General features: G+C 39.1%; 2 pseudogenes across 3 annotated transcripts; one reads left to right on the forward strand and one right to left on the reverse strand.

Moving 5' to 3' along the window:
- Positions 1-3725: 3725 nt before the first annotated feature.
- On the reverse strand, positions 3726-15522 carry FAR2P2 (fatty acyl-CoA reductase 2 pseudogene 2; annotated as a pseudogene). 3 transcript variants are annotated; one of them, NR_046258.1, is made up of 6 exons: positions 14680-15522; positions 13142-13239; positions 12890-13014; positions 12067-12134; positions 6047-6221; positions 3726-5274 (listed from the first exon to the last, which is right to left on the reverse strand). The product of NR_046258.1 is annotated as a fatty acyl-CoA reductase 2 pseudogene 2, transcript variant 1 (transcript). The 3 variants fall into 3 exon arrangements; NR_046259.1 differs by lacking the exon at positions 13142-13239; NR_046260.1 differs by lacking the exons at positions 12890-13014; positions 13142-13239.
- On the forward strand, positions 14707-16201 carry KLF2P2 (Kruppel like factor 2 pseudogene 2; annotated as a pseudogene).

Consider the following 17289-nt stretch of genomic DNA (forward strand, 5'->3'; position numbering starts at 1 on the left):
ATGTATCTTCTTTTTAGAAGCAGCAATAAAGAAAAATAAATGATCGCTTCATTTCAGGAGGTGGAGTTTTCCTCTTAAAGTTTTTCAGATTTTTATCTCAAGGGTTTGGCTTTTTATGCATCTCACTACATGTAATTTGCAGTTAATACATCCATGCCTTCTGCTCTTACTTCTCTCCTTAAAACATTACATCTTTTTGCTTAACTAAAGTGGTGACTCTCTCTCTCATTTTCTTTTTTTTTCTTTTTTTTTTGTCAGTTCCTATTGCATTTTTCCCCACTTCGCACTCTGGTATTATAACCTGACACTGAGAATGTTTGCCTCAAAAAAACTGGAAAAACAATGTTTTTCCAGTATAGACGAATTCTGTACTCGGCTTTTCCTGATGTATCCAAATTGTTCTATGCAACCAGGAAATTTCACATGCTCTTACTTTTTCTAAAAGCCATCCATTCCACCTGGTGGAGGTACTACTTGTGTGTGTGTGTGTGTGTGTGTGTGTGTGTGTGTGTGTGTGTGTGTGTGTATTATTATCCTATAATATGGTTTACTTATAACCTTAGACACACACTCTTCCAGTGTCTAATTGAATTAAAGTAGTTTTTCATGGGGTTTAATTTCCAGCTTACTCAAAAGGGCATATACCAAGAGAAATGGTCATACTACAAAAGGTTTTTTTTCTCTCTCTCTAAGTAATCCACCTAATAAGCAGGTATTTTATGTTTCAAGATAGCTTCCTGTGGTTTGGGCTGTCTTTATTCGGGTTTTGACCACCTGAAAAAACTAAGTCATCTCTAATACAGGTCTAACTATTTTTTTTCTCTTGACTATGTAACTTTTGAATTTGTTTTTGAAGTCTTTCCATTATTACTCTGGTTAAATAAGTGACCATTATCTCTCAAGGATATGTAATTCTACTTTAATTAAATATTTTTAGGCTTTTTGAATCCAAACAAATGACAAACTTCCCCAGAATCAAATTCAAATTTAACTCTTTTTCACCTAAAATTGACTAAGGGATTTTCTAGTTGGGATCCTGGGAAGTCTCAAAAGATTTGTCTCCCATTAGGCTTGTTTGACCAGCTCCCAAATTCTTCTCTAGTGTCTGTGAGCTTTCTTTCAAAACAATATGTAGCATTTCCCTTGCTAGTAAACCCCCAATCTTCTCTTTGTCCTTCACACATATAGAAGACCACCGTGGTTTTCAGTTTTGTTCAGAACTACAATTCTGTGATTCCCAAATAAATTGCATACTTTAGAGATTCATCTTTATTTTGACTTCAGTAGTGGTGATAAACTCTGATACAATAATCAAGAATATGTTTTATAACAATACTAAGTAAATTTAGAAATGCATTTTACTGCGATATAAAATCCTTAACTTTTCTCCTCCACTGACATTATGTATGATTTTGTTATTAATTTACAAGCACCTAAAAATTCTTTTACATAAGGTTTATATTAATTTTGTGAGGAAAATAAAAGGTCGGTTTTCTATTTGCATTGTGCTAATTCAGACTGCACTTGGTTCTTCATGCACACTGGTATAAGCGAAGTTTAGACAAATTATTGTAAAAACTGATAAACATATAGACCATTATATTGTTATTTTTAAAAGCACAAGAAACTAAAAGATCACAAGGAGATTACAGCAAATGAATCTTCATATTCATTACCTCAATGAAATTAATTTAACACTAGTTTCAATGTCTTTTTTTTCCAAAAGACTAATTTTCAAGTGAAACCTTTAGATCTTTGAAAGTAATAGAAGTAAAGATAAAGATAGAAAAGATACATAATTCATTTCAGTAGTTTTCTGAGAAATACCACATTTTCCAAAATATATATATTCTTATAAGAAATGGATTCTCTTTAGGCTACTAGAATATCAATCTTCTACAATAGGCCAATTTTCAAAGCACTAGGCCTATGTTCACTCAACCAGTCTCATGAAGCAAAAACTGAATTAAGATATTCCATTTATTTTATTCCACGTATTTATCAAGCAAAGAAACTGTGGAACAAAGACTCTTTCTTGCTGAAGTTGCTGGGATTTCCATGGTGCTTAATGTGTATTTTTTTAAATTGTGAGATCAAAGAACACAAATCTTCAGCCATTGTATATGTTACCTGGGTAAAAAAATTAAACTTGATCTTTTCAAATATCTAATGGAATCCCAGGCATAGTGATTATTAAAATATAAAGTTAAATATTTAAGAGAAAATTAATCACTAATAATGAAATGAGTTGATTTTCTAAGAAAAGCAAGTATGTAATTAAGGAATCATTAGCAGACACTCTCAAAACCATTACAACATTTAAAAGCAATCAACATTACAACTCTTAGGGTGTGTTTTAAATTCCTCATAACCTAAACATATACATTCACTAATTATTCACTTGCCATGATCAACAATGAAAGATGAGTTAGAAAAACCAGAGGTTTTAATTCTAAAATAACAATCTTTGGCACTGCAGCAAGGAAATAACTAGCTGGTGAAATTAATGACTCCACCTGGCTTTATCTTGGTAATGTTCTGAAATACATGCAATGAACAACTTGACATTGTTTGATGTTCTTAATTCTTTACAGCCATCTCTATGGGTGGTCATAATAGATAAGATCAATCAGAAATGATCATATTATGAAATGTAAATCACTTCACATGACTTATCTGGAAAATGTCCTTGTACTTTACTTGCACCATCTCAAGTTCCAAGAGCCAAAAACATATACATGCTCATGGAGGAGAATTTCCTTTCTGATTTTAGAACAGTCTGAAATGGAGTGAAAAAATGAAAAAGAAGGGGGAGCTTACAAATAACAAAAATGTATATCCCAAGTGAAAATTAGAATGTCTATGGAACTAGTAGCAGTAACAACAGTAGACGAAAGATAGGCTGTAGATGTGAAGAAGATGTCTACAAGGGAAGCACAAGACTCCAAATGCTCTTGCTACTAAAACGCAGATTCAAGCTTTACCATCTGTAATACTCTGCTGCCAAGTACATCTATGGCCACTGCTACTATCTAAAATGAGGATATATATTAAGAAATCATCAAAAAGGACTGCATAGCAGAAACTTTTCTGATATCAAGGGATCAACTTAACTACAATTATATGCAAGTGCCAATTTCCTCTGGAGTAAACTACCACACGGGGCCTCATGTACCAGTTAGATAATCCAAGTCAGCCTTTATTGCATTGGACTCTACATTTTGGCTCTGCAGAACTGAGACAAGAAATGTATGAATAGGATAGTGATATTGCCTTTGTCTATGGGAATTCTTGAGTCTAATAAAAAAAACTGGGAAAAATCTAACTTCATGATTACACTTGGGCACATAGGTGATTAATACGAATGAAGTAACAACCATAAATACAATCATAACCACAAGAACAACAGTAATTCAAATTTTCTCACTTCATAGATGTTCTTAGAATGCTTTATTGGTATCTTGTAGGTGCTCTCCCCAAGCCTCAGGTGTTCTTCCATAATCTCAGTTGATGCAGAGGCAAACACCACACTCTCCTCTGTTCAATGTCTGCCATTCCTGTCTTTTTGGCCTCTGACTCTTCCCTATACTACTGTCCATGCACTTGAGATCTTCACTGACATAGCTGGGCTCTGTATTTATTGATAAGAATATCTCTTTTCTCTTAGACTAGGCATGACCAAAAGGTTAATCTGGGTTCAAAGATTAATGACAACGACCACTCACTTTTTATTCAAGATCAATTTTATTTGTTGTAAAAACAAACATGGGTTATGTTCCAGACAAACAGATATAAGTGAGTAGACTTATGCCCTGGTGCCTCCTTGGCTCTTCACAGGATGCAAAAACAAATCCTGCCAGCAGGAGGTGGCAGATTGCAGAGGTGGCTGGTTGCTCTTTCAGCCAGCTTGGCCTTGTCTGGCATGCACAGGTCCCAGCACAGCAAAACATTCAGGGAGTTAGAGTGTTGCACAAAGGATTTTACCAACCTCTCACATTAAGCAGCATTCAAGGATTTGCTGACCACCACTTATGCAAATTTTGTGTTATGCTATAGCAATGAACTTACTTGTTCTATTTCTAAACAAAACATTGGGTTCACACACAGGCCTGGACAAAGCTTCCCACTTCTGAACTATTTACTGATCTTCTTATTCTCAAAGAATGCAAGATGAATGATGTGCAATACCATGGCTATGGCATGTGACTTTTCTTGACCTGGATGGTTAGTGTCCCAATATTTAACTGATTTTTGTGGGGGTGAAAATATGCCATAAGTTCTTCCTTCTATCATCCCCATCACTACCATACATGTAATGACATAATCATGTCACAGTGTGCCCTCAGAATCACTATTCCTAGCTGAGTATACTAAGGCTTTCTATCTAGGTCAGTTCATTGTGTCTGTGTCTCCTCTAAACCCTCCTTCATCATGCCTACCTTGAGGAATTCAGCAAGTGATCATTCACGCAAGCTAAAGGATTTTAGCTTTCTCTGCCATAAAGATTATTGCTAAAATACATACCATACAACAAACCAACCCATTTCCCACAAATCTTACTGTCTGACTTCTCACAGAATACATAATGACTTTTATTGTGTCTCTTCCTTCTGTGTTTCTCTTTCCTAACTGAACTTTGTTCTTTATCCATGCCTTCTTCCAATCCTGACATATTTTAAAACCTTTAGCATTTCTGCCTATAATATTTGAGTTTTCTTCTTTTCCTATCTTTATTTGATAAGTCCCGTACAAATATTTTCCCCATAATCACAATGTTTTCTTTTCACTTTGCTCAAGAACTGAGTTATGAGCTCCAAATTTGGACAAACTCTACATTGGCTAAGTTTTAGTCATTTGCACTGCTAAGAAAGATGACAATTCAGCATGCTGAAGATGACTTCCTCCCTTATAAAGGGGCTAACACAGAGGGCAATACTGTTCATGCTTCTGATTCTTGATCACAAGAATTGCTTTAGGCAATTACAATCATGTCTCCCCTGACACAACATATTAGTCAAGTGAGACAGAGAAAGAAGATGTCCTATGTCACACAGCTGGGTGGTGACAGCCGCTTTAGCATCAGCACACTGCGTTCCCTCTGATTTCTTCATTCATCTCTAAGTAGCAGTAAATCCGGTCTTGAATACTGACTTTGACACTCAGCTTTCTCCACATCCTTCCTGTCACTTCCTTTGAGACTACTTCAGATTCTTCCCTGAGCTTCTATTTCTCCATTTGTAAAATTGGGTTGATGAGGGTATCTTCCTTCGGTAGCTGTGACAATAAAAATGGGATCATCACGCATCCTCCTTAGCCCCACGAGTAAGCTCCCAGTAAGTGAGGTTGTCATCATTACTGGATATTTAAGATTCTCTACCTATTTGAAAAACCCTAGTGACAGCGTCTCAGTTGGTTTTCTTTTTGTGTGAATGATCACTTGCTGAATTCATCAAGCAGGCGCTTTAACATTTACCTTCCTTTATTATGCTGGAGTATTTTTAATGTAGGAGGCTTCTGTGGCTTCTCACTATGACTGCTTTGTTTGTTCAAAACTTACACAGATTGAGTATCCTTTATCTGAAATGCTTGGGTCAGAAGTGTGTTGGGTTTCAACTGTTTTCAGATTTTGGAATATTTGCTTCAATGCAATGAGGTATCTTGGGAATGGGACCCATGTCTAAACACAAAATTCACTTACATTTCATACACACTTAGCCACATACACATAACCTGAAGGTAATCTTATACAATATTTTAAATAATTTTATGCATGAAACAAAGTTTTGAATGTGTTTTGACTGTGACCCATCACATGAGGTAAGATGTGTGGAATTTTCCACTTGTGGCATCATGTCAGCACTCAAAACTTTTTGGATTTTGGAGAATTTCAGATTTTGGATTTTCAGAGTAGGTGTGTTCAATCTGTATATATGGGTCAGATTCAGCTGTCTCCTTTAATCTTTGGCTGAAGGAAGCCCTAAAGACTTTGGGGCCTCAATCTCCCATATGCAGTGACATTCTCAAGGCCATTGACTCAGCTTCTCACCTGGGTTTCCTTCCAATGAGCCACAGATAGAAGTCACAGATAATGGCAGGGGCCTGCTGGCTGATGGCATTCCAGTACTGGGTTGTGAAGTTGCTTGTGGTGAAATCAGCATATGGCCTCCTCAAAGCTCTCGCAAATGGAGTTGGAATTTCAGAGGTTGCCAAGACCTGGAATCCTGGGGAAAAAAAGAGAGTAAGTGATAGAGGAGAATAGGAGAATATAAGCCCATCACACTGGAAGGTATTTATAATGGGTCACAACAATAAAGATGAAGGATTTGCTGTGTAGAGTCAAGAATCAATTTCTGAGAACAACGTAAAGATTTTTATGCTAGGCAAGTGGTTATCTGCAAAATGAAACAATGTGAATGGGTTAAGAATTGGACCCTTTATTTGAAACACCTACTCTAAAACAAATTCTTGGGGAAACACATGTAGTCAACAAAAGGGGGTACTCTTCAGAAAAACATAAATCCACATTTAATTCTAAGGTTACCTAGTCTATTCTGAAAGCCCCAAGACACAGGCTAGAAACTTTATTTCCTTGGCTGGACCATTACTTTCAGAACCATTTAGAAAGTTTCTTAATGTTTTATTTGAATCTTTATTAAAAGTTTAACTTAAAAATTCTAAAGGCAAGATTTTCTTGTGTTAGCTTACTTTAAATATTTCTCTGGGAATATGTCAGACTCAGTTGTCCACTCTGGTATCCAGGGTTTTATTCATAATAGTGTTTTTCTTTTTATATTAATACTTAGATTAAGCTTAATTAAGAACTTTTTATGTACATTTGTGAATTCAGTAGTTCTTTTGAAAAGATACTCATTTGAATTCAATTTTATTTAAGGTATGTAGGTTTTTGCAAAGCATATGCCTAAGCTCATTATTCAATTATGATGTCAGTTATTATAGTAATACGATTATTGCCCTACTTAAAAAAATGCCAGCTAAAAATCTATCTGAAAAATATAACTCCTCTTCAGAGAAGATTCTTAAGAATCATCTGTTCCATAGGGATTTATACTTTAAAAAGATGGTGGTAAATAAAAAAGTTATGTACAGGTTGATAGCATAAGAGATTCTGATCTCAACACTGATGTTCTGATCTATATATCCATATACTTGTTCAACATTTCCACCTGGAGGTGTAAGAGACATTCACATTTAACAGCTCTAAAATGGGCCTCCTGATACACCCACTGCTAACCACCCCCCTCCCAATACATACACAAACTTGCTATTTCACCAGTCTTCTACCTCTAACCAAATGCTAATTCAATTTGTTTAGTAGTTCAGCCAAAAACTTTGGGGTTATCCTTGATTCTTCTCTCTCTTTAACAACCCACACACAATTGAACAAAATCTATCAGCTCCCTGTTTGAAAAATACCCAGAATCATAATTTCCACCTGCTATCTCTCTGATCCAAACCACTACTGTAGCCTGGAATGTTGCAATACTGTCCTAAGTGGTCTCTGCCACTACCCCTGTAACCCTAGTTGGACCTCCATGTAGCAGCCAGAGGGATTCTTGTAAAATGTAACTCAGAGTGTATTACAGGAACGTCCCCATTCAGAGCCCTTCAACGGAATCTCTTCTCATTTAGAGGCAAAGCCATGGTCTGCAAGGGCTTGCACTCTCTGCATCCTCACTCTCTCTGCCCACCACTCTGACTTCACCTCTTACCGCTCTCCCTCTCGGTGCTTCTGCTGCAGCCATACTGGCCTCCTTGCTGTCCTTGAATATTATTAAAGAACTTCAGCACTTACTGTTTCTTCAACTTGGAATATTTCATCCACGTGTCCCTCTGATTTGCCCTCTCACTTCTTTCAGGTCTCTACTAAGATGACACCTTATCAGAGAGACTTTCTTTGGCCATCACTTATCAAATAGCAGCCTTCCCACAATACTGTTTACTTCTTTAATCTGTTTTATTTTTCTGCAATCACTCAACCATATCTGATGTATATTTCTCCTTTCTAAGATTTAAGTACCGTAACAAAATTTTGTCTGTTTTGTTTGAACCTATACAGTACCTTGAAAAGTGGCTGACAGGTAATCAGTGCCTAATAAACATTTTTTGACTAAACGAATGAATAAATATCTCAGCAAAATACACTTACTTTCCTTTTCCTAAATCTGTATCAATCCTTCCTTTAGTCATTCCAAATATATTTATTCAGCATTTAACACTTGCCAGGCACTGTGGTAGATGCTGAGGTAAAAAAAAATTACATATGATATATTCTTTGTCTTTAAAGAACTGGCGATCTGGTGGGAGATGTGGACAATTCATGATTACAATCTTTTGCCTGAGTATTCTGCTAGAGGCCGGTACAATACGCTCTGGAGGAACACAAAAGAAGCATCTAGCTCTGTCTGGGTGCCCGGAAGGGGAGGGGTGGGGCTGGGTTAGGAAAGGCTTTCTGAGAAAGCTGTCCATATGGTAATAGCAAGCATTTACTAAAATGTTCACTGTTCTAACCACTGTACTAAGCACTTTATCTCACTACGTTCTCCCAAGAGCTCCCTAGAATAGAATAATTATTATTCTCACTGACAGATAAAAAAATTCATCTACAGGGAGAAACTGAGAGACTTTTTCCAACTGATACAACTAATAAGTAGTGGAGTCTACTAAATTGCGGGATGCATACCAGCAAATAACATCTATGTGAGCACGGATTTCTGTTTAGTGATATGTCCTCAGCACCAAGAATAATGTCTATTTAATAAATACAGGAGTGAGTGAATGAGCTATGATTTGAATCCAAGTCTATTAGATCTCAAAACCCAAGACTTTTAACCATTAAGCTACTGTCTTTCTGATGTGAGGGACAAGGAGAAACTCATGCACATGTAGAAAATGTAATTTGGCAATTGAAAACTGTACTCTACATCCTCAAAGGTCAAAGAAGAAATTCAAATGAAAAATGTTTAAGGATTAGAGAGTAATGATAACATAAACATCATACAACAAAATGTGTGGGATACAGCCAAAGTGGCATTGAGGGAAGTATAAAGCCATAAATGATGTATTAGACAAGCCAAATATTCATGGGCTATATTTCTAAGTTAAAGAGAAGAAAAACATAATCAAAGAAAACAGGAGGAAGGGGAAAAAAGACATAAGGCAATACATCTATGCAATAGAAAACAAAGCAGCATAATAAAGAGTCAATAGGCTGGGTGCGGCGGCTCATGCCTGTAATCCTAGCACTTTTGCAGGCCGAGGTGGGTGGATCACCTGAGGTTGGGAGTTCAAGACCAGCCTGACCAACATGGAGAAACCCCATCTCTACTAAAAATACAAAATTAGCCAGGTGTGGTGGTGCGTGTCTGTAATCCCAGCTACTCTACTCAGGAGGCTGAGGCAGGAGAACTGCTTGAACTCGGGAGGCAAAGGTTGTGGTAAGCCAAGATCATGCCATTGTACTCCAGCCTGGGCAACAAGAGCGAGACTCCATCTCCAAAAAAAAAAAAAAGAAAGAAAGAAAGAAAAAAGAAAAAAGTCAATAAAGCCTGAAGAAGTTGGTTCTTTCAAAAAAAGAAATAAAATAAAACCTTTGAAGACTAGCTGAGAAGAAAAGAGAAGACACACAAATATTATGAATTTAAAAAGAAGCATAATTACAGATACAGTTTAGGACAAAAATATGAATATGAAAAAAAGAATGTAAATACATTTTAAAACAGACAAAATCTTAGAAAAAGAGACAAATATAATTTACTAAAACTGATTCCAGCAGAAAATGAAGCCCGCAAAATTCTTTAACTATTAAAGACACTGAAGCAATAAAAAATCTTCTCACAAAAAATTATAAATCCAGATAATTTAAAGGTGCTTTTCCCAAGTTTTCAAGGAATAGATTACTCCACTATTACACAAGCACTTTCAGAGAATAGAAAAACAAGGGAACTATATGATTAGCAAACTGAATTAAACAAAATATAAAAAAAGATAACATGGTATGACCAAGTTGGGTTTATCCTAAAAATGGCAGGTGAGTTTAATATTTGAAGTCTTCTGCTTAAAATTAGCAGCAAGACAACAATACGTACTCTTGCCATTTTTATTCACCATTATAGTAGAAGTTCAACAAGAAGGCTGGGCGCAGTGGCTCACGCCTGTAATCCCAGCACTTTGAAAGGCCAAGGCAAGTGGATCATGAGATCAGGAGATCGAGACCATCCTGGCTAACACGGTGAAACCCTGTCTCTACTAAAAATACAAAAATTAGCCAGGCATGGTGGTGGGTGCCTCTAGTCCCAGCTACTCGGGAGGCTGAGGCAGGAGAATGGAGTGAACCCAGGAGGCAGAGCTTGCAGTGAGCTGAGATGGTGCCATCAACAAGAAAAATAAAGACCTAAAGCTTGAAAAAATGGGGATAATACTGGTATTTTTGCAGATTAAATAACTGTCTACATAGGAAATCATGAGGAAATATTATACAATTTCTAGCAATAATAAGTTTAGCAAGATAGGGGAATATATGGTCAATATACAACAATCAATTGCATTTGACATCATCCACAAACAATTAGAAAATATATTTTTACAAAACACATTTAAATTAGTAAAAAAACAAACAAACAAAAAGCATCAATTACCTAGGCCCTAGGTATAAATCTGATAAAAGATGCTTAAGACCTGTATGCAGGAGATCAAAAACTCTTCTTAAGGGACACTAAAGGAGACAATTCCATGGAGAGATAGCCCATGTTCACCCACTCAGCTGTCTATCACTCCTTGTAATATCACCTGAGACTATATATGCTCAACCTCCTGTTAACATGGCTACTGCTCCCAGTAGGCAGCATTTTTATCCCTCCTAAGAGTCCCAGATAGGAAACACCAATGAGTTTAATTTGAATGCGACATCAAATTAATAGTAATAGCTTCCAGAAATGCTGTTAGAAGGGAATCTAGAACAGAGCCTTGGCACAGGGATAACCAATGTCTTATCAGCCCACAGTGTTTGCTATAGGTGTGAGAGAGGTAGAGGAAACAGGCATGCCAGGCATTTTTCATTCCTGGAAAGCATTTTCCAATTCAAAGTCACAATATATAAATCAGCCACAGTGTCTAGCTGCCCTGCAATAGAACTTTCAGTGCGGTACCATGGCTTATCATTGGAATATGAAGAGCTAGTGGTACCTATGTAACAGGGATAGAAGGGGTGCGTTAGTTAGTAGGTACTAAGTAATCCTACAGAATAGCAAAACTCCCTACTTTTATCTTCTACCATCATTAGATGTTTAAGTTGTACTCAAATTGATTTCCATGGTTTTTGTACATTGACCAGATTAAATCCCTTACATTCAGACAAATTAATCATTTGTATAGTACAGGGTTTCTCAAAGAGCATTTCCCCAAGCATCAAGAATCATTTAGATGCTTATTAAAAATATAGTTTCCTCAGCATCACCCAAGACCTTGGTCCCAGGGTCCAAGGAATCTGCGTGTTGTTTTTATTTTCCCATAGTGATTCCTATTCACTTTTACAAATCACTAGTAGAGTAGTTAACACACACCCAAGAGAAACAAGTTGCATAAATTAGTGATCAGTATTACACACTCAATAAGGAAGGAATAACATCACCCGACTTTTCTAAATCTCATTGGTCATTGATCACATTGCATTCTCAGTGACATATCAAGAAGGGAAGGGGTGTGTATAGGACCCACTGCCCCAGCAGGGAGGAGTATTTCAGTATTTTATCACTGAGATTTTTTATAACTATCAACTTTTGCTTTATTTCATCATTGTTTTTTAAAATCTCCATAGCCAATGGACCCCCTACTGCTTACAATCACGTATGTGTTCCCAATGACTGCTTTCCTTGGTAACCACAGTACATTCTAGTTAACTACCACACATTTACAATTTCTCATTATTTTGCCTCTTTGCTTACTTTTTGTCTTTCTCCCCATGTAGGCTCTAAGCTCCATGACACACTGTCTATTTTTTCTCTGTGTCAGACACTAGTAATTATGCAGTTACATGGCTAAAGTACTTACACATTTTGCTCCGGTTGCAGGGATTGAGGTTACCAGACGTACAGTGGTAGACTAACATTGACTTAGGTCTGGAAAATGAAATAAAAATTAAATAAATACAACAGAATGGGAAACTAATGAAGGAAAAATAAGGGAAAATAATATTTAGACAGAGTGGCTTCAATAATTCATCTGATTAACGCAACCTATGCAAGAAGGCTTCCATATTTTTTTCTTTCTTTGGGTTAATAAGCAAAATGGAAGAAGACTAGCAAAAGGGTATGTGTGGGGGGGATGACTGTGTGTGTGAAAGAGATGTTAAATAGGAGTGACATATTATGAAGCACATATGTGTGAGTTCACATAAGAAAAGTTTAATTCTGTTTACCACTTACTAACACAGCCAAGTGTATGAACAACCTGTTTTTTTTTCCTTTGTACCAGGAAACTTCCCCACACATAGTGATTGAACACTTTTGGCATTAATCAGAGTTCAATTAAAAAAATACTCTGTCATTTCATCCACTTCTATCTCCTTTGCCCTAAAAAAGAAAGCTGAATGTTAAACTACTGAATAGAAAGAAAAGCCTTTTGGTTATCAAGAATTGTATGGTTAAGTGATTTAAATGTTTTATTACTTTGTGAGTAGCCAAATACTAAACTGTATTTTGAAAACAACTGAATGTATATATGATGGCATATTAGGAACTCTATAAAACACTGAAACAAACACCCTCTCACATTTGGGGTCTTGTACAATGAAATGCCTATATTTGGAAAATGTGCCTAATACATTACCCCTCCCTCTCATGACATCTTTGAAAGCCCACTTGAGCATCCACACCTGTGAACTGCAGCACACCATCCTACAGCTAGTGGGAGACTGACGGCTGTATCACCTGGAATTGGAATTAAGTCTCCCACAGCCATTGGAGTAGCTTTTATGGACAGAAGAAACCCTTTCCCAGCCTGCACAGAAAAAGAACATAAAATGTGAAACCAGGTCTTAAGTAACAGCTGGGGCTGAAGTATGTACCATCAAACTGATTATACTAGTGCAATAAGTGAAAACAGCTAACATCGATCCACTGCTTACCAGGTTCCCACACTAAGTCTGACTTCGTCAGCCTATCCTAGCTTCCCAGCCAAGCGCATCTTCAGCATTTTCTTGAACTACTCGTGTTCCTCACGTTCCTTTAGGGAATAAAATTCCTCATATTTGTGAGAGATTAATAAACTTAATTACCAAACACCAAGAATAAACCTTCACATTTTAAAAATTAACTCATAAGACACGTTAAGAATTAAGATTACATAAATTTCCCATTAATGTTTGTTTTCCATTTCCTTAATGATTTTGTTTTCTGCTAGGGTTTACTAACCTACAAGCAATAGTAGGCAGTAAAAGTTTAAGAAAGTTTTATTTGAAAAAAAATTAATTGGTGAAATTCCACAACTAATGACAAAAACTTTTTTGGCTTAGAAAAATGGCCTTATTATTTACTTTTTCTTCAGAATCTCATTTCACCTCACAGATCACTGATGTTATATAGATACAAGAGTTTGGAATTATTTATGTTAATAATTTGTTGAGTTTATGAAATTCATTCTTTCTGCTTTGCATGTTTCCCACTTTAATTTGAAATGATTAGCACTTTCTTATGTTACTCAGTTCTCTTTTCTTATAACTAGCTCCCCTTCTTTTGGACATAAGAAACCAATTTAGAACATTTTTTAAAATGTGAATAAATATGCAGCTTTGCATATAATGAAAACCGCTTTGGGATCACGTTAAAATAATGATGTTCTAAGTCATCAAACGTTCACCCCAACTGAACTTTTTTAGGAGAAAGAGTTGAAGGCAGGTGGGAAGCAGAAAGAAAGGGGCTGCTAGAAAAATCCGGAATTCGAAGGAAGGTCTTTGTCACTACCATAATTCATTGTCTCATATTTCTATTTGAATTCATGTTGAACCCAGCTCTGGGAGGAATAGAGACAGAGTCTGAAGGGCAGTCTGAATCCCTAATAAGATTTAAACTCATTTAGATCACTGATTTCCCATTCATTGTACAAAAGAGTAAAGTGGGGTTTAGGCCCTGAATGCCTCAGTGTGAGCTGTGAACCCCACAGCTCTGCCGGATCAATGTGGACTTCAGGGAGATGCGCACTGAGGGCTGCTCACCTAGAGGAGCCACGTTTCTCCTTGTAAGACATTATTGAAAAGGCGTTGCCGGCACATGTCGACCTATGTAACAAACCTGCACGTTGTGCACATGTACCCTAGAACTTAAAATAGAATAATAAAAAAGAAAAGGCCTTGCCTATATTCACTGATGTTTGTATTTGAAAAATTTGCCCCAATATTGGTAGTTCTTTCTTGTATTCATTAAGAATTATTGATGTATACCTGCTTTCCATACACACACATAAACTCTTCTATGTGTTTTATAATAACGAATTTAATAATCTTTGAAGATATTTTTACTGCATCCTCAATTCACTGCACTAATTCATGCAATTATAAACTGCAGGAAGGAGGAAATACCCCCATCTTGCGATAAATAAAGCAAAATCCTTGGCAGAACCATGCCCGCCTGTCCGCGCCCCGACCAGCCCTCCCGGGCAGCCACTCACCGGTGTCCGTCTTCCCAGCTCCCCGCCATGTCGCCAAGTGAATCCATCCTGCCGTCCGTCTCCACTTTCACCAGCCCGTACCGCAAGCGCCGCCTGCAGGAGCGCTGACCCTGCGCCGAGCCCGAGGCCAGGGGAACCCACAACTACCTCAACAGCGTGTGGGACTCCATTCGGTCCACAGGGCTGGATGGCCTGGGGCCGAGGCCACCCCGAAGCCCCCGGCGACCCCACCGTCTGCGTCCTATTACCCGAACACTGCACGCCGCTGCCCTAGGGCGCCCTGGAGCTGGACCCGCTGCCAGAAGGCCCGCGCTGCTCAGCTGGTTTTTGTTGTTTTTGTTGTTGTTGTTGTTGTTGTTGTTGTTGTTGTTGTTGTTTTGAGATGGAGTCTCCTTGTGTCGTCCAGGCTAGAGTGCATTGGCGCGATCTCGGCTCACTGCAAGCTCCATCTCCTGGGTTCACGCCATTCTCCTGCCTCAGCCTCCGGAGTAGCTGGGACTACAGGCGCCCGCCACCGCACCCGGCTAATTGGTTTTTGTACTTTTAGTAGAGACGGGGTTTCACCTGTTAGCCAGGATGTTCTCCATCTCCTGACCTCGTGATCCGCCCGCCTCAGCCTTCCAAAGTGCTGAGACTACAGGCGCCCGCCACCACGCCCGGCTACTTTTTTTTTTTTGTATGTTTAGTAGAGATGGGGTTTCACCGTGTTAGCCAGGATGGTCTCGATCTCCTGACCCCGTGATCGGCCCGCCTTGGTCTCCCAAAGTGCTGGGATTACAGGCGTGAGCCACTGCGCCCGGCCTGCTCAACCGCTTTCAACTGGCGCTGCCCAGCCGCCTGGTCAAAGCCCAACCCCCTGAGGCAGATGGCGGCAGCTGCGGCTGCGCACCCAGGTTCAGGCATGGACCGCGCGTCCTCAAACACTAGGGCGCCCCGGGCCTGCGGCTTCATGCATGCGAGGTCCCGGGTCCCTCCCATTCCGCCCCCAACACCCGCCCCTCAGCCCCTACGGCCCGCACGCCTCCTTCCCGCTGCCTTTCCGTGGCCCTGGTTTGGGACACCCAGCCCGGCCTTCATGAGGCGCCCCCCACCCAGCTCCGCCCCTCCACGCCCCTGTCTTTAGTCTCTTAGGCGTTGGCCGCCACCGCCACAGCCCTGGGCCTGGCACCCCCAGTCGCCCGCAGTCTCCTTGTGGTGGCACCGGCGTCCCCGCTGGAGCGGCTGGAGGCCAAGCCCAAGCATGACAGCTGCTCCTGGCCTGGGAACCGCAACACCGGGCATACCTATGCGGCTACGGCCAGACCTACAGCAAGAATTCTCCCTTGCAGGCACATCTGCGCAGCACACAAGTGACAAGCCCGACCACTGCCACTGGGATGGAAGCAGCTGGAAGCGTGCTCACTCAGACAAGCTAACGCTCCACCACCACAAGCACAGGGGCCACTGGCCATTTCAGGGCCATTGGTGCCACCACGCCTTCTTGCGCTCTGCCCACCTTGCCCTGCACAGGAAGCGGCACATGCAGCCCAGAGGCCTCCCCACCTGCACACGGCCCCCTCCCAAACTGTGACTGGTATTTATTGCACCCAGAGAACTCGGCAGGGCGGTGTGGCTCCATAGGGTCTACCTCGACGACGAAGACGGCGCCACTGCCCCAGCCCCCATCTGTGACTGAAGACCAGGTGGGAAAAGACCACTATCCGCCTTGACGAGTTCTGTTTTTCAAAATGGTGCAATAATTAAGTGGCATCTTCCCTCCCACGGGGCATAAGACTTGATGTCCTTTGAGAAATAAGTGCCTTAATTTGTACTGTCTGCGACATTTTTTATAATATTGTACATAATAACTGGGACAGATATTGTTATTACTGTACATAGAGTGGCAGGGCTACTTGCCTCCTTTTCCTAAGACTTTTGCTTCTTTTATTTTTAATTTTTAAAAAAGTCTTTTTTAAAAAGAAAAGAAAAATCCTTATTAAAGACTTTTCAAAATAGAACTCTTAAATAGTAATTGATAGCACTTTACCTCTGTTTTCCTGATAAAAAAAATTCTAAAAGAATAAAAACAATTTCATCCTGCCTCCATATTATAACCAGAATAATTGAAATAATATGCTTCAATTGATAGTAAAGTAGCATTTATGTTTTTGGATCAATGAAGCTAAGCCAGCACTAAGAATTTTCTTACTATTCCTCCACTACATTACAGTTACTTCTTCATCCCTATACATACCGCAATAATGAGTCAGCTACATCCATTTAGATTATCAACCCAACCCTAAAAGAAAGAAAATTTCCATTGGTTACACATTTCAGAAAATTGTTGTATCTTTGGAGCATCTGCCGTCTAATCTTAATAAATTTCAAACAAGGGCACTGAGACTCCAGCCGATAGAACTATCTAATTCAGTATGATTAAGATCCCAAAGATCAATGGCAAAGCATTGGCTATTTTCTGCAGTTTGTGCAAGAATTAAAATTTGGCCAGGATTGTTGTTTGTAGCAGGAGTCATGAATGGTTTTGTGGCGTTTTATGACAACTTAAGGGCTACAATGGACCTTGTCCTTATATCATGATCTGCTAAGCAATTCACCAACCATACTTCACCT

The sequence above is a fragment of the Homo sapiens genome, chromosome 2, assembly GCF_000001405.40.
Source record: "Homo sapiens chromosome 2, GRCh38.p14 Primary Assembly".
Taxonomy (NCBI): domain Eukaryota; kingdom Metazoa; phylum Chordata; class Mammalia; order Primates; family Hominidae; genus Homo; species Homo sapiens.